At 53.4% G+C, this 21949-nt stretch overlaps 2 protein-coding genes and 1 long non-coding RNA gene across 39 annotated transcripts in view, besides 5 other annotated features; 1 reads left to right on the forward strand and 2 right to left on the reverse strand.

The window, feature by feature from the left end:
- The window catches only part of ARHGAP27 (Rho GTPase activating protein 27), a 38963-nt gene extending 19901 nt beyond the window's left edge, over positions 1-19062 (reverse strand). For 16 of the 37 annotated variants that reach the window (NR_169601.1, XR_934416.3, XR_001752447.2 and 13 more), the window contains exons 1-4: positions 18944-19062; positions 18408-18541; positions 17813-17944; positions 15815-16489 (exon numbers count right to left, since the gene is read on the reverse strand). Coding sequence is in view for 12 of the 37 variants with exons in the window: in XM_047435547.1 (XP_047291503.1) it covers positions 15815-16471 (657 nt within the window). In the remaining 25 variants the exon portion in view is untranslated. Of the gene's footprint in view, positions 1-11755; positions 11826-15543; positions 16490-17546; positions 17710-17812; positions 18122-18407; positions 18542-18943 lie in introns of those variants that run through there. The other 21 variants (NR_169605.1, NR_169602.1, NR_169606.1 and 18 more) reach the window with 5 other exon arrangements.
- Positions 9908-10414: an enhancer, noted in NCBI's record as "H3K27ac-H3K4me1 hESC enhancer chr17:43501082-43501588 (GRCh37/hg19 assembly coordinates)". NCBI's record gives its function as "activates a minimal SCP1, AML or CMV promoter by ChIP-STARR-seq in primed H9 embryonic stem cells {active_cell/tissue: H9 hESC(primed)}" and the evidence as "EXISTENCE:reporter gene assay evidence [ECO:0000049][PMID:30033119]".
- Positions 10415-10919: an enhancer, noted in NCBI's record as "H3K27ac-H3K4me1 hESC enhancer chr17:43501589-43502093 (GRCh37/hg19 assembly coordinates)". NCBI's record gives its function as "activates a minimal SCP1, AML or CMV promoter by ChIP-STARR-seq in primed H9 embryonic stem cells {active_cell/tissue: H9 hESC(primed)}" and the evidence as "EXISTENCE:reporter gene assay evidence [ECO:0000049][PMID:30033119]".
- Positions 11664-12234: an enhancer, noted in NCBI's record as "H3K27ac-H3K4me1 hESC enhancer chr17:43502838-43503408 (GRCh37/hg19 assembly coordinates)". NCBI's record gives its function as "activates a minimal SCP1, AML or CMV promoter by ChIP-STARR-seq in naive and primed H9 embryonic stem cells {active_cell/tissue: H9 hESC(naive and primed)}" and the evidence as "EXISTENCE:reporter gene assay evidence [ECO:0000049][PMID:30033119]".
- LOC124904016 (uncharacterized) lies at positions 14755-15541 on the forward strand. The gene is made up of 2 exons (XR_007065825.1): positions 14755-14840; positions 15121-15541. It is a non-coding gene; the product is annotated as an uncharacterized LOC124904016 (long non-coding RNA).
- Positions 15846-16346: an enhancer, noted in NCBI's record as "H3K4me1 hESC enhancer chr17:43507020-43507520 (GRCh37/hg19 assembly coordinates)". NCBI's record gives its function as "activates a minimal SCP1, AML or CMV promoter by ChIP-STARR-seq in naive H9 embryonic stem cells {active_cell/tissue: H9 hESC(naive)}" and the evidence as "EXISTENCE:reporter gene assay evidence [ECO:0000049][PMID:30033119]".
- Positions 16347-16847: an enhancer, noted in NCBI's record as "H3K4me1 hESC enhancer chr17:43507521-43508021 (GRCh37/hg19 assembly coordinates)". NCBI's record gives its function as "activates a minimal SCP1, AML or CMV promoter by ChIP-STARR-seq in naive H9 embryonic stem cells {active_cell/tissue: H9 hESC(naive)}" and the evidence as "EXISTENCE:reporter gene assay evidence [ECO:0000049][PMID:30033119]".
- Positions 20401-21949, reverse strand: part of PLEKHM1 (pleckstrin homology and RUN domain containing M1) — a 56513-nt gene continuing 54964 nt past the window's right edge. The window contains exon 13 of the mRNA XM_047437188.1: positions 20401-20542. The gene's annotated coding sequence lies outside the window, so the exon portion shown is untranslated. The remainder of the gene's footprint in view (positions 20543-21949) is intronic.

Raw genomic sequence — 21949 nt, forward strand, 5'->3', positions numbered from 1 at the left:
AAATGGTCCATGAGGGGCTGGGTGCGGTGGCTCAGGCCTGTAATCCCAGCACTTTGGAAGGCCGAGGCAGGAGGATCACTTGAGGTCAGGAGTTTCAGACCAGCCTGGCCAACATAGCGAAACCTTGTCTCTACTAAAAATACAAAAATTAGCTGGGCGTGGTGGCGTGCGCCTGTAATTCCAGCTACTCGGGAGGCTGAGGCAAGAGAATTGCCTGAACCTGGGAGGCAGAGGTTACAGTGAACCAAGATCGCACCATTGCACTCCAGCCTGGGTGACAGAGCGAGACTCCATCTCAAAAAAAAAAAAAGAAATGGTCCATGAGGGAACCTCCCAGCCAGCGAAGGCTGTAGGGATGAGCCAGACTAGGGAGGTGGGAAAATGAGACCAAGGAATGATCACCTTCTGCCCTCCCCCTCAAACGTATCTGTGTTTGCACCCACCATTCCTTCCCCCTCCCCCAGTGGAAGGCACAGGGGCCTGCCGTCCAAGCCAACCTCCTCAGCCCGGTCCTGAAGGACCCCATAGCCTCCCGCTTGCTCGGAAGTGGCCTCACCTCAAATTTCCAACCCTTCCTTTCTGACTACCTTTGTCCCTTTCTCATTTCAACAAACTCAAGGCCTCTCCATGTTGGTTTTTTTTTTTTTTAGACAGCGTCTTGCTCTGTCACCCAGGCTGGAGGGCAGTGGCACGATCATGGTTCACTGCAGCTTTGACTTCTTGGACTCAAGCAATCCTTCTGCCTCAGCCTCCCAGGTAGCTGGCTAGCTGGCAGTACAGGCCCACACCACCACGCCCGGCTAATTTTTTTTTTTTTTTTTTTAGAGACAGGGTCTGACTATGTTGTCCAGGCTGGTCTTGATCTCCTGAGCTCAAGAAATCCTCCCACCTCAGCCTCCCAAAGTGCTGGGATTACAGGCCTGAGCCACTGCACCCAATTGGTCTCTCCATCTTAAAAAGAAAATGTTGACTGGGCACAGTGGCTCACGCCTGAAATCCCAGCACTTTGGAGGCTGAGCAGGTGGATCGCTTGAGGTCAGGAGTTCAAGACCAGCTGGCCAACATGGTGAAACCCCATCTCTACTAAAAATACCAAAAAAAAAAAAAAAAAAAAAATAGGCGTGGTGGCAGTTGCCTGTAGTCCCAGCTGCTTGGGAGGCTGAAGCAGGAGAACCACTTGAACCCCAGAGGTTGCAGTGAGTAGAGATCACACCATTGCTCTCTAGCCTGGGTGACAGAGAGAGAGTCCATCTCAAAAAAAAAAAAAAAAAAAAAGTTTTGTTCCCTGGACCCAGCTCTGCATCTCCTTTTAACAACTAATTCCTTTTTCCCTTCCTCCTTTTTGAGCCAACTTCTCTGTTCCCTCACTTAGACAATCAGCCCACTGCTTAGAGGCCTTCTACCACTTCCTTGATGATAGATCTGGTCCTCCTCTGGCCTGACTTCTCTCCAGTGTTTGCTCTTTAAAATCCTCTCCTTCTTGGGCTTCCTCAGGCCAGGCCTCCTAGTTTTCCTTCTTTTTCTTTGCTACTGCTCAGCAATTGGGCCCCAGGCTCCACCTCCTCTGCCACGGCCTCATGCTTGGTGTCTCACCTGGCTTCTCACTCCACCGCCTTGGGAGAGCCCAGCCCCACCGGCTGTAGATCAACAACTCGCAGCACAGTCTCCAGGCTCACATAGCCCATTGCCATCTGGATGTCCTTTGTACATGTCGAAAACCGTGTGCCCCAAATCAAATTTGTCCTCTCCCTCCTCCTTCCCCGATCTTAGCATCTGAGTGACATCTACCTCTGTCACTCAAGGTAGAATCATCCTTGCCTCCTGCTGGCTTTGCCTCATCTGACACTGAGCCCCATTGATCCGACCAGCCTAAGCCTTGCAGACCTGCCTACCAGTTCTCAGGTAACACCAAGGTTAGAGGAAGACGGAAACACTGCTGCAAGGAAGCAAATAGACACCTTGCAGGCAGGGCAATGAGTCAATGTCCAGGCAGAAAGAAAGGGTAGGGCTCTTCAAGGGAGATTGAAGAGACAGCCAGATACAAGGCATGGACTTGGACGGGATCCTGAACCAAACAAACCAGCTGTGAGAGAGATGTTTTAGGATAAGGCAGAAATCTGACGATGGCTTAGGTCATAGATGACACTAAGGAATTATTGTTAATTTTCTCAGATATAATAATGGTAGGGTGTTTACTTTTCAGAGATGCATGCTGAAGTTTTTGTTTTTTTTTTTTGTTTGTTTTTTGTTTTTTTGAGACGGAGTCTGGCTCTGTCGCCCAGGCTGGAGTGCAGTGGCATGATCTCGGCTCACTGCAGGCTCCGCCTCCCGGGTTCACGCCATTCTCCTGCCTCAGCTTCCCGAGTAGCTGGGACTACAGGCGCACGCCACCAGGCCCAGCTAATTTTTTTGTATTTTTTTTTTTTTAGTAGAGACGGGGTTTCACCGTGTTAGCCAGGATGGTCTCAATCTCCTGACCTCGTGATCCGCCCACCTCAGCCTCCCAAAGTGCTGGGATTACAGGCGTGAGCCACCGCGCCCAGCCTCATGCTGAAGTTTTTAGGGGTGAAATATGATGTCTAGAATTTATAATTCATCAGCAATAAATAAATAAAAATAAACACGGCAAATATTGTTTTTTCTCTTTTCTCTCTCTCTCTTTTTTTTTTTTCTAGTAGAGCAGCCAGCAAGGAGTTGGCTCCTTGCTATTGTTAAATCTAGGCAATAAGTAACTGTATTCTTTTTTTAATTTTTTTTTGAGATGGAGTCTAGCTCTGTCGCCCAGGCTGGAGTACAGTGGCGCAATCTTGACTCACTGCAACCTCTGCCTCCCAGGTTCAAGCAATTCTCTGCCTCTGCCTCCAGAGTAGCTGGGATCACAGGCGCCCACCACCACACTCAGCTAATTTTTTGTATTTTTAGTAGAGACAGGGTTTCACAATCTTGGCCAGGCTGGTCTCAAACTCCTGACCTTGTGATTCACCCGCCTCAGCCTCTCAAAGTCCTGGGATTACAGGCGTGAGCCACCGCGCCCGGCCTGTATTCATTTCTTAAAAATATTATTGGCCGGGCGCGGTGGCTCATGCCTGTAATCCCAGTATTTTGGGAGGCTGGGGCAGGCGGATCACCTGAGGTCGAGAGTTTGAGACCAGCCTGACCAACATGGAGAAACCCCGTCTCTACTAAAAATACAAGAAAATTAGCTGGGCATGGTGGCCCATGCTTGTAATCCCAGCTACTTGGGAGGCTGAGGCAGAGAATCACTTGAACCCAGGAGGCGGAGGTTGTGGTGAGCCGAGATCGAGCCATTGCACTCCAGCCTAGGCAACAAAAGCTAAACTCTGTCTCAAAAAAAAAAACAAAAATTATTTTTGGCTGGGCGTGGTGGCTTATGCCTGTAATCCCAGCACTTTGGGAGGCCGAGGCAGGCAGATCACCTGAGGTCAGACTTTCAAGACCAGCCTGACCAACATGGCGAAACCCCTCCTCTATTAAAAATACAAAAATTAGTGGGGCATGGTGGCATATGCCTGTAATCCCAGCTACTTGGGAGGGTAAGGCAGGAGTATCACTTGAACCCGGGAGGCAGAGGTTGCAATAAGACAAGATTGTGCCATTGCACTCCAGGCTGGGCGACAGAGCAAGACTCAGTATCAAAAAAAAAAAAATTCTTTTTGTCTGGGCATGGTGGCTCACACCTGTAATCCCAGCACCTTGGGAGGCAGAGGTAGGTGGATCATTTGAGATCAGGAGTTCGAGACCAGCCTGGCCAACATGGTGAAACTCCGTCTCTACTAAAAATACAAAAATTAGCCAGGTGTGGTGGCACTTGCTACTCGGGAGGCTGAGACATGAGAATCGCTTGAACCTGGAAGGTAGAGATTGCAGTGAGCTGAGATTGTGCCACAGCCCTCCAGCCTGGGTGACAGAGCAAGATTCTGTCTCAAAAAAAAAAAAAATTTTGGCCGGGTATGGTGGCTCACGCCTGTAATCCCAGCACTTTGGGAGGCGGAGGCGGGTGGATCACAAGGTCAGGAGATCGAGACCATCATGGCTAACACGGTGAAACCCCGTCTCTACTAAAAATATAAAAAAATTAGCCGGGCACAGTGGCAGGCGCCTATAGTCCCAGCTACTTGGGAAGCTGAGGCAGGAGAATGGCGTGAACTCGGGAGCGGAGATCGTGCCACTGCACTCCAGCCTGGGCGACAAAGCGAGACTCTGTCTCAAAAAAAAAAAAAAAAAATTTTTTTACTTTTCTTCATGTTGGACATTTTCTTTTTTTTTCAGTTTTAAATTTGTTTACTTATTTTTAATATAGAGGCGAGGTCTCACTGCGTTTTTCAGGCTGGTCTTGAACTCCTGAGTTCAAGCAGTCCTCCCGCTTCGGCCTCCCAAAGTGCTAAGATTATAGGTGTGAGCCACCAGGCCCAGCCTATTTGGACATTTTCATAATAAAAAGTAAAAAAAAAAAAAAAAAAAAATCCCTTAAACTTTTTTACTATTCTCCATCCTCACTGTCACTACCATATAAGCGTGTGGTCTCAGCTATTTGGGAGGACCAAGCGGGAGGACTGCTTGAGCCCAGGAGGTTGAGGCTGCAGTGAGCCGTGATCGCACCACTGCACTCCAGCCTGGGTGACAGAGCGAGACCCTGTCTCAAAAAAGAAAAGAAAAAAAAGTTGTTCATTATTTCTCACCTGGAAACAGACTTGCCCTTCCAGCTCCCCCCACCCCCGAAGTGTTACAAAGTAGTTCCTCTCCCTTTCAGACACAGCTCTGGAGCCAGGATTCTGGGAATAAGGCCACTTAAACACGCCCTGTTTCCCCTCTGCTGCCAACTGCGACCTGCTACTGCCTGAGTCAAGCAGAGGCTGGGACAGTGGGTGGGTGGGACCTGGCTGGCACAGGTGAGAGGCTGTGTCTGAGGTGGAGGCTCCCAGGGGAACCTTGGGGCAGGCTGGCCCATCATGGGACCCTGGGGAGAAGGCAGGGTGGCTTTTGTACCCTTGAGCCCAGGAGCTGAGGAGGGCCAAACAGGTGGGCCAGGTAGTCTCTACCCGTAAGGCCAGGGCACCAAGGAGACAGGGAGAATTCCTGCTGGTGTTTTGACATCACAGATGCCCCATGCCCACAGGCCCACTGGCAGAGACCACCATCTCTTCTCCACTCTAGGGCCCCCCCACCAAGTGGGTACTCCTGCAGCTCGACCCCAGCTCTGGGGAGCAAAGTCATATAAACTCACTCTGTGACAGCTCAGCAGGGGGAACAGAGAGAACCACCAAACCAGTTGCCGCCACCAGACCCCAGCACAGCCGGGACCCAGGACGCACTAAAGATGCCATCACAGGTCATGGGGAAAGACAAACTTGTCAGTGAAAGGTCACAGGACAACTGGCTGCCCATCCAGAGATAAACATAAATAAACAAGTATATAAGTAAGGGAGGGTCCACATCTCACTCTGTCCATGCACAATAACCCTCAAAGGATTAAAGATTTAAGTTTTTAAAAACGAAGCCATAAATACAAAGAAGAAAACAAAATCTAATATGCTGTATGTATATACCTATATATAAGCCTATATATTTTATATATGTGTCTCTTTATATAGATAAAAGACTTCAATATGCTGTATGTACATATAAATATATACAATATATACTATGCTGTGTGTGTATATATATAAAAGACTTATGCTGTATGTATATATATATATATATATATATATATATATATATATATATATATGACTTTGTAACAAAGATGCAAAATATAAAAGCCATAAAATAAATGAGTGATACATTGGACTACATAAGTATATTTTAAGAAAACTTGTGTGGCAAAATAATGCTATTAGCAGAGTCAAAAGACAACTCAGGGTGGGGGAGGGAATTACAACTCATGTAATAATAGACAAAGGATTATTTTCCCTAGTATAGAAAAAGCTACTAGAACTCAATAAGAAAAAAGCCCAACAACCCAATACAGAAACAGGCAAAGGATATAAATAGACCATTCACAGAAAAAAAAGGGGGGGAACAAACAGCCCTTAAATATATGAAAAGATAATCTTACTGGAAAGAGAAATGCAAATTTAAAGTACCTTAAGATAATACATTTTATGGTCAGGTTGGCAGAAAACAAAAGTTTGACAACAGTCAGTTGGCAAGGCTTTGGGGACCAGACACTAATTTGTGTTGGTGAGGGCACATTGGTATATGCCTCATGGGACATACTCATCAAATATCTAATATTTATCTTTTGACCCCAAAATCCCACTTCTGCAATTTTTCCTACTTCTACCTGTACATATATAACAGTATTCATTATGACATTGTTGTAACAGCAAAAAATGGGAAATATTCCAAATGCCTGTCAACAGGAGACTGGTAAAATGGATTATTTGTAGTTGTAGGGAAGGAGACAGAACCTCTCTAGGTACAATCTCCAAGATACATTGTCAAAGAAATAAAAAGTAAACAAGGTTTTTGTTTTGTTTTGTTTTGTTTTTTACCTTGTTTTACACATAGGACGGTGTTGCTTGAGAGAGAAAATTAAGTAATCAGATACATAATTATACTAGTTTGTACTCAGAAACTTTGGAAGAATGAAGAAAGAATGAATGAAAGTGGTGACTTTTGAGTTGATGGAGAACAGAGCAGGGAAACAGTGTACATGTGACATTTTTACTATAGACTTTAAAATATTGCTTTGATTTAAAAAAAAACCTGTAAAAATACTATCTAGTAAAATAAATTCAAGGCTATTGGCAAAATAGAGGGGCTGGAGAATGCAATTACAATTTGAATACAAACTCTTAAGGAGACTCAAATCAAGCAGAGTTTTAAAAAAGGACTGATTTTGGCCGGGCGCAGTGGCTCACGCCTGTAATCCCAGCACTTTGGGAGGATGAGGCAGGCGGATCATGAGGTCAGGAGATTGAGACCATCCTGGCTAACACGGTGAAACCCCGTCTCTACTAAAAATACAAAAAATTAGCCGGGCATGTTGGGGGGCGCCTGTAGTCCCAGCTACTCAGGAGGCTGAGGCAGAATGGCGTGAACCCGGGAAGCGGAGCTTGCAGTGAGCCGAGATCATGCCACTGCACTCCAGCCTGGGCGACAGAGCAAGACTCCATCTCAAAAAAAAAAAAAAAAAAGACTGATTTTTAGAACTTAAAATATGTCATTGTACTAGTTGAAGGAGAAGAAATTCACTCTTGAGATTCAAATTTGCAGCCTGGAAGGTCAAGAAGAAACATCAAACCTCAGAGCAAAAGTACAACAAGAATGAAATAAAGAGACCAAAGATAAACTGGGGGGGACCCAGTTGGGAGCGCTCACATGCAAAGGAAAGAAAAGGTAAAAGAAACAATAATCGAGCAACAGTCCGGGCGCAGTGGCTCATGCCTGTAATCCCAGAACTTTGGGAGGCCAAGGCAGGCAGATTGCTTGAGCCCAGAAATTTAAGACCAGCCTGGGCAACAAGGTGAAACCTTGTCTCTCCATAAAATACAAACAAAATTAGCTGGGCACGGTGGCGTGCGCCTGTATTCCCAGCTTCTCAGGAGACTGAGGTGGGAGGATCACTTGAACCCAGGAGGTCGAGGCTGCAGTGAGCCGTGATCGTGCCATAGCACTCCAGCCTGGGTGGCACAGTAGACCCTGTCTCAAAAAAATAAAAAATAAAGAAACAATAATCAAATCAAGCAACAAATAGATGTTCCTAAGCTGAGAAAAGACCGGAGTCTACAGAGTGACAGGTTCTGTAAGCTCCAAATGAGGGTGCTGAGAAAAGAATCCCCATCGAGGCATGTGCTAAAGAATATGTGTTTGATTAGGAACCCCAGAGAAGGGACAGCTGCCAATAATGAAATGGAAAGTGTAACAGGAAGAAAAAGGAAATCGATAACCAGATCAGAGGGAAAAAAACTGCAAGATAAACCAATAAATGTAAAATAAGCCAAAGGTAATCAAATCAAGTACAGTAGATCAATTGTTAAATGAAATGTGAACAGATTGAATTCTCCCACTAAAAGACAAAGAGTCAGCTTGGGTTTAAAAATACAGTGATAGGCTGGGTGCAGTGCCTCATACCTGTAATCCCAGCACTTTGGGAGGGTGAGGCAGGTGGATCACTTGAGGTCAGGAGTTTGAGACCAGCCTGACCAATGTGGTGAAACCCTATCTCTACTAAAAATACAAAAATTAGTTGGATGTGGTGGCGTGTGCCTGTAATCCCAGTTAATCAGGAGGTTGGGGCAGGAGAATCAGTTGAATCTGGCAGGCGGAGGTTGCAGTGAGCCAAGATCGCACCACTGCACACCAGCCTGAGTGACACAGCGAGACTCCATCTCAAAAAACAAACAAAAATCCATGAAAATAATAAAAATACAGTGGTGGCGGGCAACACGAAGAAACCCCATCACTACAAAAAATACCAAAAAAAAAAAAAATTAGCTGGGCATGGTGGCACGTGGGCCATGTGGTCCCACGTTCTCAAGGTGCTGAGGCAGGAGAATTGCCTCAGCCAGGGAGGCTGAGGCTGCAGAGAGCCATGATCACACCACTGCACTCCAACCTGGGCAACAGAGGGAGACCCTATCTCAAACAAAACAAAACAGTGATGTGACATATACAAGAAATTAGTAGTTTCAAAAAATGATAATAGTAGGAAATAAAAGAATGCTAAGCAAGTACAAAAAAAAGATAAAGTAAAATAAGGAGTGGTCATATAAACAATAGAAGGGTGAAATTTAAGGTTAAGCACTAGAATAGGATAAAGAGGGACACCACGTAATGATAGAAAAGCACAATTTGTAACGAAAGAACGCTCGAAATCTGCATCCTCCTGACAGCGTCGTAGTTAAATATAAAAAGCAAAAACTAGGAAAAGCCCCAGAAGAGCTTTATAGAGAAAATGTGAGAGGAAGGTTTAACATAACACATCTCTATCAGAATTAGAGTAAAAGACCCCTGCCCCCAAGCAAAGGATACAAAGGAAATGAAAGTTTGAATAATACAATCAATAAACATGATTTGATGCAGATAGTACCTTATATCCCTTAAATAGAAAATATGCATTTTTCCGGCCAGGCGTGGTGGCTCACACCTGTAATCCCAGCACTTTGGGAGGCTGAGGTGGGTGGATCACTTGAGGTCAGGAGTTGCAGACCAGCCTGGCCAACATGGCAAAATCACCTCTGTACTAAAAATACAAAAATTAGCCCGGTGTGGTGGCGCACACCTGTAATCCCAGCTACTCAGGAGGCTGAGGCAGGAGAATCACTTGAACCCAGGAGGTGGAGGTTGCGGTGAGCCGAGACCACGCCACTGCACTCCAGCCTGGGCGACATCTCAAAAAAATAAAATTAAAATAAAAATAAAAAAAGAAAATACGCATTTTTCTTATGTGTCTGTGAAAAACTTAGCAAAATCATTTACTTGGTCACAAAGAAATTCATAATAAATTTTAAAAGTGGAGAGTTTACACATCTGGAGAAAATGAATGCTTTCCTAGTAAAATATAAAATGGCCAAAATTAACTAGAAGGTGAGTAGAAACTTAAATAAACTAATTACCATTGATGAGAAAAAAAATCTGCCACTGAAAAAGGCACCCGGTCCAGAGGGTTTCATGAGCGGGAACTGTAGAAACCTTTCGAATTCAACTCTGCCAACACCTTCCTCCTCCAGGAAGCACTCCTGGATTTCCCTCTTGCCAACAAGATTCTGGGAGGGCAGCTCCTCCAACATGCCCCCAACAGCTCTCTGCAGACATATCATATCATATCATATCTTCCATACCATAACTGCCATGCCATACAATATCATAACTGGATCTGCTGTTCAATTTCTCCTGGACAGTAAGCTACCTGAGGGCAGGAACCATCCTTTATTTTTCATTGCTCCCTAGCCCCCAGTACAGCGGCTGACATTCACTGACTAGGTGAATATGGTAAATGAAAAAGCAGAAGGCACAATCGTCATTACACTGTGATGTCTCTACGGGAACTGCCCAAGAGATACGCATAAGAAGGCAGAATAAATGGGAAGAAACCAACATGCTCACAGTCATTCGATTGAGATTTCCTCCTATTATTCAAATATTTGTAATGGAGTTAAGCTATTTTTATAGGGAGGGAATAGTAATTTACACATTTAACTGGGCCAAGGAGGAGAAAGGAAGGGGGAGGCTGGGATGATTCTGCAGGCAGGCCCTTCTGCTACCTCTGCTTCCTCTCTCTGGCCCAGTCCCTAGACAGACATGGAGGCCTGGGCAGGGGCCCCTGCCCCCCTCCTTTCATGCCTCACAGGGGACCCCCAGCCAGGAGAGGGCAAGGAGGCAGGGTGGGCACCCACAGCAGCCTCAGCTGGACAGAAGGGTCCTGCAGGCCTCACCCGGCTCAGGCAACAGTTCTGGAAGTTCCCTCAACACCAGAATCCTTCTGCAATCTGGAAACAGAGCTTCCCAAATTTTAGCAAGAGCACCTCTGTGCCTGTGCCCCAGAGCCCTAGTCCTGGCAGCCCTGTTTCCCCTTCAATATGAACCAACAGCCACTGACCTCTCACTCCCCGGCACAGATCCAGCTCCCAATCTCCCTAACATTCAGGCATGGAGACTCGACCACATCCCTGATCATCAGCTACGCCCTGGTCACGATCATGGACTTTCCCATTCCCCAGGGCCTGGCACTGACCACCCATCCAGGCTGGCATTCAGTACTGATGCCCACCCCTCCCTGTACTGGACGCAGTCAGCTCTAGGAAGGGCAGAGAAAACAGGTCTATGGGAGCTAAGCTATGAGGATGCAAAGGCCTAAGAATGATATAATGGATTTTGGGGACTTGGGAGTGGGGGAAGGGTGGGAGGGGGGTGAGGGATAAAAGACTACACATTGGGTACAGTGCACACCAGTCGGGTGACGGGTGCACCAAAATCTCAGAAATAGCCACTAAAGAACTTATTCACGTAACCAAACACCACCTGCTCCGCAAAACCATTGAAATAAACATTACAAAAAACAGGTCTAGAGTGAGGTCAACTGCTGAGGCCTGGGAAGAAAGTGAGGGGGCAGGTGGGCTTGTCCTGGGGCCCATCGCAGGCCCCTGGGCGCTGAAGGGAGCCAAGGACTAAGAGGTGAGAGCCAGGCACAGGCTCCAGCGAGACCTGAAGAGATCATGGGGCCTGCAGGAGAGCCAGGGGGTGCGGGGGGTGGGCAGGGAGATCTCTGGGTGGACAGCAATGTGGGGTGAGGGTGGGAGGGAGATCCAAGAAGCTGCTGTCTCCTAAGTCAGGTCCTAGGCAGGCAGAGGGGCTCCTGGGACAGCCTGGGGCTGCAGGTGAGTCACCGGGAGGGAACTGGGTCAGGTGTAAAGAAACCAGCAGGGCCACCCCAGGGTGGCTGCCCCACCTGGGGGTTGGGGGTGGGGGGTGCCGGAGGAGGGAGTACGAGCAAGGGGCTAGCTAGAGTCCCTTCAACTTGGCCTCAGCTTCCTGCTGTTACCAACACCCCTTGCCAAAGTCCCCCTAGCTGGCCCCGAAGGGGGACAGGAGGGTCTGTCCCAAGGCCAGTTCCTTTCTCTCAGTCACAGTGGCCTCGGGCTGCCCTTGGAGTTTGTCCTAGGAAGTGGGTGCTGGGCCTGGATCCAGAGGGGAGGGGCCCCCAGATGGGTTTTAGGATTCGGGAAAGGGAGGGGAGAGATTGGGGAAACTGCTGTGGCCACCCCCTAGTCCCCCAGGGGCGAGGACTCACTCAGTTCCCAGTGGAGGAGAAGGAATGAGGGCCCCGGGCTCCTTCCAGTCGGGGCTGCCTGCTCATGTGCGGCGCCTCCGGGGCTGCTTGTATAAGAAGGTGCAGCAGCCCGGCTGGAACTTCCCTCCCAGCGGCCAATGCCCCAGCAGCAGGGGCGGGCTCCAGGCCAGCTCCACCTGCCTGGGCCTTCCCACCTCTGGGCGGGGATGGTGACCGCACCCTGAAATCCCAGAGTCAGGACCAAGGGAAGAGTCTCAGAGGCCCCTTTATTGCACTGGCTTTGGCCTGGCTTCCCAGAGCTCCCTGAGTGGCCTCTTTGTGGGAGAGGAGGAGTCATCCCTGCTTACCTCCCCCGTCTCCCTCTATCCCCTCTCAGAAGGGTTTGCTTCTGCCCTCTCCTGGGCAGCAAAAGAACAGGAGATGTCCCTCCTGGGACATCAACTCTTCCACAACAGGGCTGGGCACGCAGGACGCTCAGAAGAAGGAGCATGTGCCTGCCTTCAGCTTGTACTGTTCTTGTTGAGGGGAACAGGGTGGCCAACCCTAAAGGCCACCAGGCTGAAACTGAACCTGCTGGCCAGGGTGGGGCTTGGGGTCAGGGGGCCTGGAACTGTCCTGAACACAGCCACTTCCTGGCCGTGTGAGCTTCGTCGTGTCACTAAACCTCTCTGAACCTCTGTTTGTACTCAGGGCAAATGGAGGTGCCTACGCCTGCCTTCCAAGCTGCTGGGAGCTTAACCCTGGGTTACAAGCCTTTCAGCAAGAGCCCACAGGACTGTTAGCCCCTTTGGGACTGCATCTTACCACACTTTGTCCCCAGTGTCCAGCACAGTGACCAGCCCACCCCAAGTGCTCAATATGCGCGATTAGAGTGCATGGGGAGTGACAAGGCTGTAAAACACCATCCATGGCAGGAGCTCCTCTGTTCTGGGGGTCCCTGGCCCTGTCTGGTAGCCTGCCCTAAGCCCTGAGCTGCTGCCTGACAGAAGGGCATCCCCACACACTCCCCAGTGCCCCCGTGCCATGCCATCCCCACATCCTGCCCCCTCTGTTCTGCACCCACTTTCTTCTGAGATCCCTTCTCAGCAACAACCTTCTCCCCATCTTTAGCCTCCCCATCTCCTGCCCACCCACCTGAGCCTGGGGACGGTTCCATCCATGACCCTACACCCCCTCTGGCCACACTGTGTCTCTCTCCTTCTGCCCGTTGTCCACACACTCAATTCGCACCCTCACTTCACTACTGACCACTGCCCTCTGCCTTCAGCAGCCCCCTGACCAGCTGAGCGTCTAGTGGTCACTTAGGGTAAGTGTTATACGGCCTTTCTCTCACATGACCTTCCTGTGCGTCCTTCTTCTGGACACTTCTTGGCCTCTGAGCCAGCACTCTCATGCTTCTCTTCCCTTTGGCACCTAAATCCAGGTGGGCCCCATCTTTTTTCCACTCTGCTCCTCCCCAAGTCATCCCCCCGTCAGGAAGCAGCACCACTGTCTGCCCACGAGTGCCAGCTGGGAATCTAGAACTCAACCTGATTTCCCTCCCACCTCCCTCGGCCCCCAGACCCTGCCCATCCATCTCCCAAACCTCTGTTTCCACACATGCCCACGAGACCACCAAGAGCTTCAGCCATTCTTGAAGCCCTGGCCACAGGGATTTTTTTCTCAATCCCATTCCTGTCTCTGCTAAAAGCCTCACAGCGGCTGCAGGATAATGTGCACATTCCTGGCAAGGGCCCACGAGGCCCTGCCCGGGTGGGCACCCACTCTCAACCCTATGCTCCACTCTGAGCCCCGGCCCCATGTCTTCTCTTGCTGGCCTCCTATCCAAGAGGGTGAGTCCCCCAGGATCGTGGCTGTGCCTCAGTCCTCTCCAGATCCGAAGGCTCACCAGGGCTTGGCAGGTATTCAGCTAGTTGATGCCTAATGAAGGAGTGAATGGGCCTGGAGGATCATGGTGGGGAAACTCTGCCTGGGACAACTAAGAGCAGGGATGGGGTTCCCTTGCGGGGGCAGGGCCAACTCCCTACCCTGGACTTTGTTGGGGGTGGAGCACCAGGGAGACCCACAGCTGCCTCTTGAATAAAGCTCTGTGGCAGGGAACGTGGTATTATTGCACACATCGCACAGGGGAGGAAACAGGACCAGAGATGCAAAGCGACTTGTGGAGGTCACAAGTGGGGCCAGAGAGCTGCCTGTCTCTGGCCAATGTCCTAGATTCCCCCCCTGGGTAAGTCCCCTACCCCTATCATCGGTGCCCCTCCCTCCATATGCCACTGCAACTGGGAACCTGCTGGGAGCTGGAGGAAGGATGGGCAGAGGGGCCACCTGGCAGGCGCCCTGGCAGCCGGGGTGATCTGTCTTCTCAGGAGATGTCAGGACCTGGGCAGTCTCCTTCCTCTTTGGTCCTGGGGCCTGGGGTGTTGGCCCTTGCAGACCTACAGAGCCCTGGCTCATAGGTAAAGGGCTGCCGCACCTCTGCGCTTCTCAACACACACTCTCTGTGCACTCTGTTTGAGCCAGACCCTGGGCCAGATGCGAGGTTCAAAGAGCAAGGCCATTCCCCCACCTCCAGGGGCTCTGCTCAGATGGGCAGGCACCCTCCCACCGTCACTAGGACAGAGTGGCAGTGCCCAGCCCCGCCCGCCGGGTGCCGTTCCCCACCCTGGCCACAAGGCGGCGGGCTACCGCTGCAGAAGCCTGAGTGAAGGCGGCGGAGACCCAGGGAAGCCAAACCAGGACTACCCAGACAGCCTGGGTGGACCCCCTGCTGCTGTCAAGCGCTTCGAAGCCTTACCTCGTTTAAGGCTCACAACCCTAATCCTTAAGTATTGTGCTTACACCAGAGGACGCTGGGCCTGGGGGAACGTCCTCGCGTGTAAGTTAAGTGGCTGTCAGCAGCTGGCAGGTGACCCAGCAGAATCCAGTTCCCCTTTCCCTAGTCTCAAAACCTGAGCTCTGCATTGTAACGAGTCGGGCGGAGGGAACACCCAGCAGCGGGCCTACGGAGGCGTGTCTCCTTCGTCTGGGCATCCCGGACTCAGTCCTGGCACATAGTGGGCATCAGTGTTCATGGTAATGACATCAGGTACAGCGAAAGAAATCAGAGGCTCCCGAGGATCAGAGGTCATCTGTCCAACCCCTCCCTTTGGGCTAAAGAACAAACCGAGACCCTAAGAGAGGAAAAGAACTGCCCCTAGATCATCACACGGCCGGTGGCAGATGGCAGAACGGTTCTGAGCATCTTTTTTTCCCCTCGGGCTGCCCCTCTCTGAAAAGTTCCTAAAGTTCAAAATGTCAGGGTCGCCTAGAGTGTTCTGAGGATGTAAGACCTGTTTTTAAAACGTGCTCTATTTTCGATTTCCCAGATGAACACAACTGGACTCTGAAGAGGGGGAAAAAAACAACCTCACTTAACCGGACGTCTTTCTGAAACAAACCCATCAAGAGTTCTTTAAAAAAAGGAACTGAAATGCTGGAAGCACCCTCAAAGGGAAGCAGACGCCTGACTTTCACATCCACCCTCTCATCTGACCCCAGACTCCTGGGAGACGGGCAAGTCGGTTGGGCCGGGGCAGGCCCGCAATCCCCCGTTCCGTGCCCAGATGCGCTTCGGAATACAGAACAGCTGGGACTTGGAAAGATAATATGGGGCACACACCTGCAGTAGGTTATATAACCTCCCAGCAGGGCTTGGGGCAGCAGCCGACCATCGAGCTCATTTGCATTTCTGCAGCGAAACATGAATATTCACACAAGTGCGATAAATAAAGACCATCAGCAGCCTCACATCAGTTCAAGCGCAATTTTGCCACCAATTGGATTACGAAAAGCCTCTGGGCTTCCAGGGAGCTTTGGAGCTTGGGAATTGCTGATGAGGGACTGCGGGCGTGCACCCCTCACGTTTCGCGGTTGGGGAGAGGGAGCTCATCCGAAGTCTTCGGACAGAGGTGGGCGTCGTGCCCGACGCTGAGCGGAGCGGGTCTCCTTGCGCCCCGGCTCCGTGCGGGCGCGGTCCCTAGCGCGCCACCCGCCTCCGCGCCCCAGCGCCCGGGGAGGTACCTGCTCTGCGCTCTCCTCCGGCGGCGGGACGTGCAAGTCCTGGATGACCTCGTAGACGTTCTCTGAGTCGCTGCGCGCCAGAGGCCGCGGGCACACCCAGGAGCCCGCCACGCTGCAGGCCTTGAAGCTGCCGCTGCTTCCTAGGAGGCCGGCGGGAGGCGAGACGGCGGCGCAGGCCAGGTCGTTCAGGGACTGCGCGGGCCGCACGGGCGCCGCGGGCCGCAGGTACAGGCAGGCTGGCAGGCCGGGCGCCAGGCTGCTGCGCTGGGTCGCGGCGCCGCGTTGCGCAGGGCCGCACAGGGAGCTGGCTCGGCCTCCGGACTCCTCGGGGGCGCCGTCGGGGCCCGCGGTCGCCGCCGCGCTCACAAACCGGTAGTCGTAGGCGAGCGGCTCAGGGGCCGCGGGGCTCGGGTGGGGACCTGGCGGCGCGGCGGCGGCAGGGTTGCCCAGCGCGGGCAGCTCGCGCACGTACTGCGCAGGCAGGTAGAAGGGGCGGCCGCCGGGCTCACGCCGCACGTGCCACCAGTGCTCGGTGCTGCGCCGCAGCAGCCGGTAGCGCTCATTCGGCCGGATGGCCACGCGGCGCCCGTCCTTGCCGGTGTACTCGAAGGGGTGCTCCACCAGCACGTACACGTCCCCCACCACGTCCGCCGCCATCGCAGCCGCGGCGTTTTCCTGCGGGCAACAAGAAGGAGGGCCGCGGAGGTCAAGACCACCGAGCCTGGAATAGCCCCGCACTCGGGGACAGACTTGGGTTCGAGTCCCGATCCTGCACTCGCCGTTCGCCTTCGGGCCTCAGTTTTCCCATCTCTAAAATGGGAACTTGCATAAAATCACATGTAAGGCTTCCATTCTTACACTCAGTGCTGGAATTAGGACAGCCCTTCGTTCTGTGGGGTTGATTCTAAGATTTGACCCTTGCTTCAGTCCTGCGGTGGGGAGATTGTGGGTAGTCTTGGTCCAAATCGACTGCGAGGGAAGCCTTGGCTTTAAAACGAGGGGTGATTGCCCGCTCTAAGGTCGACACCACGCTTGCTTAATAGTTGACTGCGCCTTAGTTTTCCGTCAGTCAAGTAGGAAGAACACCCCATTTACTGCCGCTCCCCGGCTCTGTCCCGCCTGGAAGCCTCCCGCCCGCAGAGAATCAGCAGAGGGTCTCGTAGCACTGCCTCCCTCCAGCAGCTTGCGCCCCGACCCCCTGGTCAGAGTTGGAATGTGGGCTCTGTAGGGGGCCGAGCGAACAGCTCTACCTGGGGGCTGTCGCTGCCCCCCTTAGTCCGAGGGCCTTGCTGTAGAGGCCTCCGCTGCCAATGCAGGGGAACCGGTTCTCTCGGTTTCTCTTTCCTTCCCCAGCTGCATCACCGCAGACGTGAGCCCGAGCCCGGCCCGCCCAGCCCGGCCCGCACCGCCCCCTGCTCTCCAGCTCTCACGCCGCCCCCCGAGAAAGGCCCTGCCCCTGTGGCCTGTCCACCTGCCCTGTGACCCCTACAGTGTCCCCACGAGTGGCTCCTGGAGAATGCACTCTGAGACAGTGACTATAAGTGCGGAGTCCCAGAGCAGGGCCACCCAAAGCTCTCCGGAGTGGTGGTCATAAGCCCCGCTCCCGCCCGGGCTTCGGGGTGTCAGGGATGGGGGAGAGCCTAACTAAATCTGTCTGCGCCCCTCCACCAAAGCCATGAGTCGGTTTTCTCCGGAAGTGCATGGCCCCTCCAAACTCCCACACTGACCACACCTCTTCCTGCCCCCTAAGGTGGCCCGGACCCGGGGCCAGGAGACCGCCGCTTGCCGAGGCAGAGGAGCAGGTTCCAACGGGGGCCCCAGCAGGGCTCCTCCGCCACTTTGTCAAGCGTTCCTCGACGAGGAAAGGGTGTAAACTGAGTCACTAAGCACGCTGGGCCCCGGAGGCGGGGTCATCGAGCTGCCCGGTGCTGAACCAACAAACCCCAAGCAGGACACTCCCCCGGCGCCCCCTCCCCTTGGACCCCGCAGCGCACTCACGTCGGCTGGGCGGGCCTCAGGGAGCCCATGGGCTGGGTGGGCGGAGCCGGCGGTGGCTGCAGGTTAGGCCCCTACCATCGCCCTGGGCGGGGTTTCCAGGGGCGAGGCCGGAGAGGCTGCGCGGAACAGGAGCTGGCAAGCAGAGCGAAGAGGGACAGGGACGCTCAGGAGTGCTGTCACCGATACCCAAAGCAGCCGTGTCTGGGTGGGGCGAGGAGGAGCCTGAATGCCTCTGCTGGGGACCTTGGGGGGCATTGGGACGAGGCCCAGAGCAGAAGGCCGGCACCTGGAGCCGGGACTGCTGCGTCTGAAGGGGCACTGGCAGGTCGCGAGCGGAGCCCAAGGAGGATGGGACCGCCCCCGCTCCGCCTTCCCCCTCTATTCCCCGCCCCCCCACCCCCCACCCCCCGGGATTTGCTGTCCGGGAGTGCCTGCGTCCCTCCTGTGCGCGGCTCTGGGAATGCCGGGCTGGGGCTGGTTGTCTCGTGCGGGCGTTCCTGTTCCCGGGGAGGTCATTTGCACCCTGAATCACCCACTGCGAGCCCTTCCAACCGGATTGCAAATCCGCCCGCTCCGGGCCCACCTCTTCCCTCACCAGGGCCTTTCCCGGAGCAGCCCGGCCGGGCCTGGAAAAACTCCGAGCGGGATTCCCAGCGCAGGGACGCCCACCGGAGCTCGATGTCTCGGGCTGGATAAGAAGGGGACCGGACCTCGGTTCCTTCCCCGACCCTGGGGAAACGCAGAGAAGGGGAGGGATTGGGGAAGCCGGGAGGATCCCTGGAGCGCGACAGCGCACCAGTCGCCAGGAGGTCCCCTGCGTCCACTGCCCAGGCGACTCAAGCTACAGGGGCGTCAACGCCTGGGTCGGCGCTGGGGGCCTGGGCCTGCTTCCCTCCAGCCCCCAGATGGAGGGCAGCCCTTCGCCTACCTTCTCCTCCCCGTGGGATGCGGCCCGCGCAGCTCCCGCCCCAGCGCGGAGACAAGGGGAGCAGGCGCGCGGAGCTCCCGGGTGCGGACCCGCCACCTGCCGCACCCTTCCCTTCCCAACCCTGCCCTTTCCCCACCCCCACCCCACTTCCCACCCCCAACCCCCGCTCGGCGCCCCACTCCCGACCCTGCCTGCCCGGGCACCTCGGGGCGTCCGCTCGCCGGCTTCGCCTCCACTTGCCCCGGCAGGCGCGCGTGGGCTCGGCGTCCCGCGCTCCCTCCTCGACTGTGCGGCTCCCGCGCTGCCGGGTTTCCTGTTCAACAATATAACCAGGGAGGCACCGGCGGAGAGCGCCGGGCAGAACTTCCTCCCGGACTGGGGCTGGGCTGCGGTTGCGAGAGACAATCCCCGGTGTCCTGGCTTCCTGTCCCCTCTGGGCCGGGCCAGCGCCTGAGGAGCGAAGACGCCACCCCCTCCCCTGCCTTTCCCGGGATCCTGGGCCGCACCTGGCTGTCTCCAGGGAGAAAGAGGCTGCGGGGCTGAGATGGTGGGACTGGGGAGGGCGGGAGCCTCCCCCGCAGGTTCGCCTGGCCAGATTGCCCTCCCACCATCCCCCACCCCCTCTTGATCCTTGTGGGGAAGGAGGGCCACCCTCCAATCCGTCCACAGGGTAAGCTCAGAACAACCTCCAGGAGTCCAGCCCCAGGGCCCTCCGCCTTGGGGGTCTTCTGTTGGAGAATTTTCTGCCTCTCTGGACAAGCAGCCTCGCCCTGATCTGAGCCTGCACTCACTCCAGACATTACAAGCCACAGCCCCAGCACACCCCCTGCCCTCAGGGGCCCCAAGGAACAGTTGTGCCTGTGGACCTGGCTGTGTGTGCCAAGAGCTGGCTGATTCAGGCCAGTGTTCTGGGAGGAAGAAGGGCCCGCATCCCAGGCCATGGCCTCTCTTGACACCACCTCCTGGGGACCCAGGGTTGGGTGGGAAGCTGAATCTGGCCACCCAGATTCAGAGGAACTCCCTTACCTCTATATCTTTGTAAGATATAGTAAGTAAGGAACTCCCTTACCTCTATATCTTTGTAAGATATAGTAAGTAAGGAACTCCCTTACCTCTATATCTTTGCCTCTGCTAGGCATTGCCCACCTGTGAGTCCACACTTCCTCTGAGAATCTGTGTGTCTGAGCCTTGGTGGCACCTTGGGACCCTCCAGGGTGGGCACACAGCAGAACTCAGCACTGGTCTTTGGTGCCCGACATGCTTAGAAAATAGTGGCTGGTGCCGGGCACGGTGGCTCACGCCTATAATCCCAGCACTTTGGGAGGCCGAGGCGGGCGGATCATGAGGTCAGGAGATTGAGAAACCCTGGCTAACACGGTGAAACCCCGGCTAACACGGTGAAACCCCGTCTCTACTAAAAATATAAAACATTAGCCGGGCGTGGTGGCGGGAGCCTGTAGTCCCAGCTACTCCGGAGGCTGAGGCAGGAGAATGGTGTGAACCTGGGAGGCGGAGACTGCCGTGAGCCATGATCGTGCCACTGCACTTCAGCCTGGGCGACAGAGCAAGACTCCGTCTCAAAAAACAACAACCAAAAAAGAAAAAAAGAAAATCGTGGCTGGAGGAATCTTCTCTCCCTCCCTACCTTTTAGGTCCCTCTCCACCTGCAGCACAGCCAGGCAGTGGCTGGCAGTGGTGATGGTCTTTGCGTGGGGTCAGGCAGGTATGATGCCCCACTCTGCTGCTTGGCGGCTGGTAGGCCTTGGGAGTTCTGCCTTATCTCTGCAGCTCAGATTTCTTTCCTGTCAATGGGATAGTAACACCCACTTCACTGGATTATTGGGAAGATTAAATGAGGTCCACTAAGCAGTGCTTACCACATGCCCAGCGCACACAATATATCAGCTATTTTTTTTAAGACAGAGTCTCACTCTGTCTCCCAGGCCGAAGTGCAGCGGCACGATCTTGGCTCACTGCAACCTCCGCCTCCGGGTTCAAGTGGTTCTCCTGCCTCAGCTTCCTGAGTAGCTGGGATTACAGGCACCCGCCATCATGCCCAGTTAATTTTTGTATTTTTGTAGAGACGGGGTTTCACCATGTTGGCCAGGCTGGTCTTGAACTTCTGACCTCAGATGATCCAACCTCCTCGGCCTCCCAAAATGCTGGGATTACAGGTGTGAGCCACCATGCCGGGGTACATCAGCTATTATGACTACTTACATTATATGATAAGCTCTTGGGGGTTGGATTGGAATCTCCAAACCACCTGTCCTCCTTCAGAGAGAAGAGGAAAAGGGGAAGTCTCAGCTACTCAGGAGGCTGAGGCAGGAGAATTGCTTGAACCCGGGAAGTGGAGGTTGCAGTGAGCCAAGATCACGCCACTGCACTCCAGCCTGGGCATTGGAGTGAGACTGTATCCAAAAAAAAAAAAAAAAAAAAGGGAGGGGAGAAGGGGAAACAAGTGGCCTCAGGGGCGCTTTGCTGAGGCTGGAGAGGGCCTGAACCCACCGGCAGGGCAGCACCAGGTCACGTGCTGTGGCCCTCCTCTGGGCCTCCCTCTCCCAGTTTCTCTTCTCTTCTCCGGGCCTACCATCTACTGTCCTGGAGGGAGGTGAAGCCCTTGGGGGAAGCTGGGGCACCTAGATTGGCAGAGGGTGCCACCTTGTAATCTGAAAGGGGCCTTTAAGGACAGGAAATCTCAGACCTGAATGTTGTCTGTTTCCATCCCATTTTACTGCAACCTGATTTCCCTGAGAATTAAGTCTGTTTCCTGCTCCTGTTCTTAAAATGGACAGTGGTGTGGGCCTCCCCTTGGAGGGGTCCCCTGGGCTTCTCCTGGAACTTCTGAGGAAGGTCAGCAGCCAAGTAAAAGTCATTTTGAGCCCTAAAACCATGAGCCCTGAATCGGGGGATCCACTTAAATAACCCTTCTTTCCTGAGCCCCATCTCTCCTTTATTTCTCCTCTGAGAAATGTCCCCTGTATCCTGAGGTTTCACATGATCCAGTGTCAAGGGTCTGTGTTTTGACATTTAAGTCACAGGAAAAGAAGCCACCGGCGTGGGATCAGCTTGAGTTGTTATACAAGTGTGGGTACACCTCCCCAGAGACCCTGAGATCCTACCCCAGGAAGAGCCTGACTGCTGGGCTTGGCAAGGTGGTTTTCTTACTCTCTTCTCCCTGCCCACTCCTGGCATGCAAGCCCTCTGCC

This window comes from Homo sapiens, chromosome 17 (genome assembly GCF_000001405.40).
Source record: "Homo sapiens chromosome 17, GRCh38.p14 Primary Assembly".
Taxonomy (NCBI): domain Eukaryota; kingdom Metazoa; phylum Chordata; class Mammalia; order Primates; family Hominidae; genus Homo; species Homo sapiens.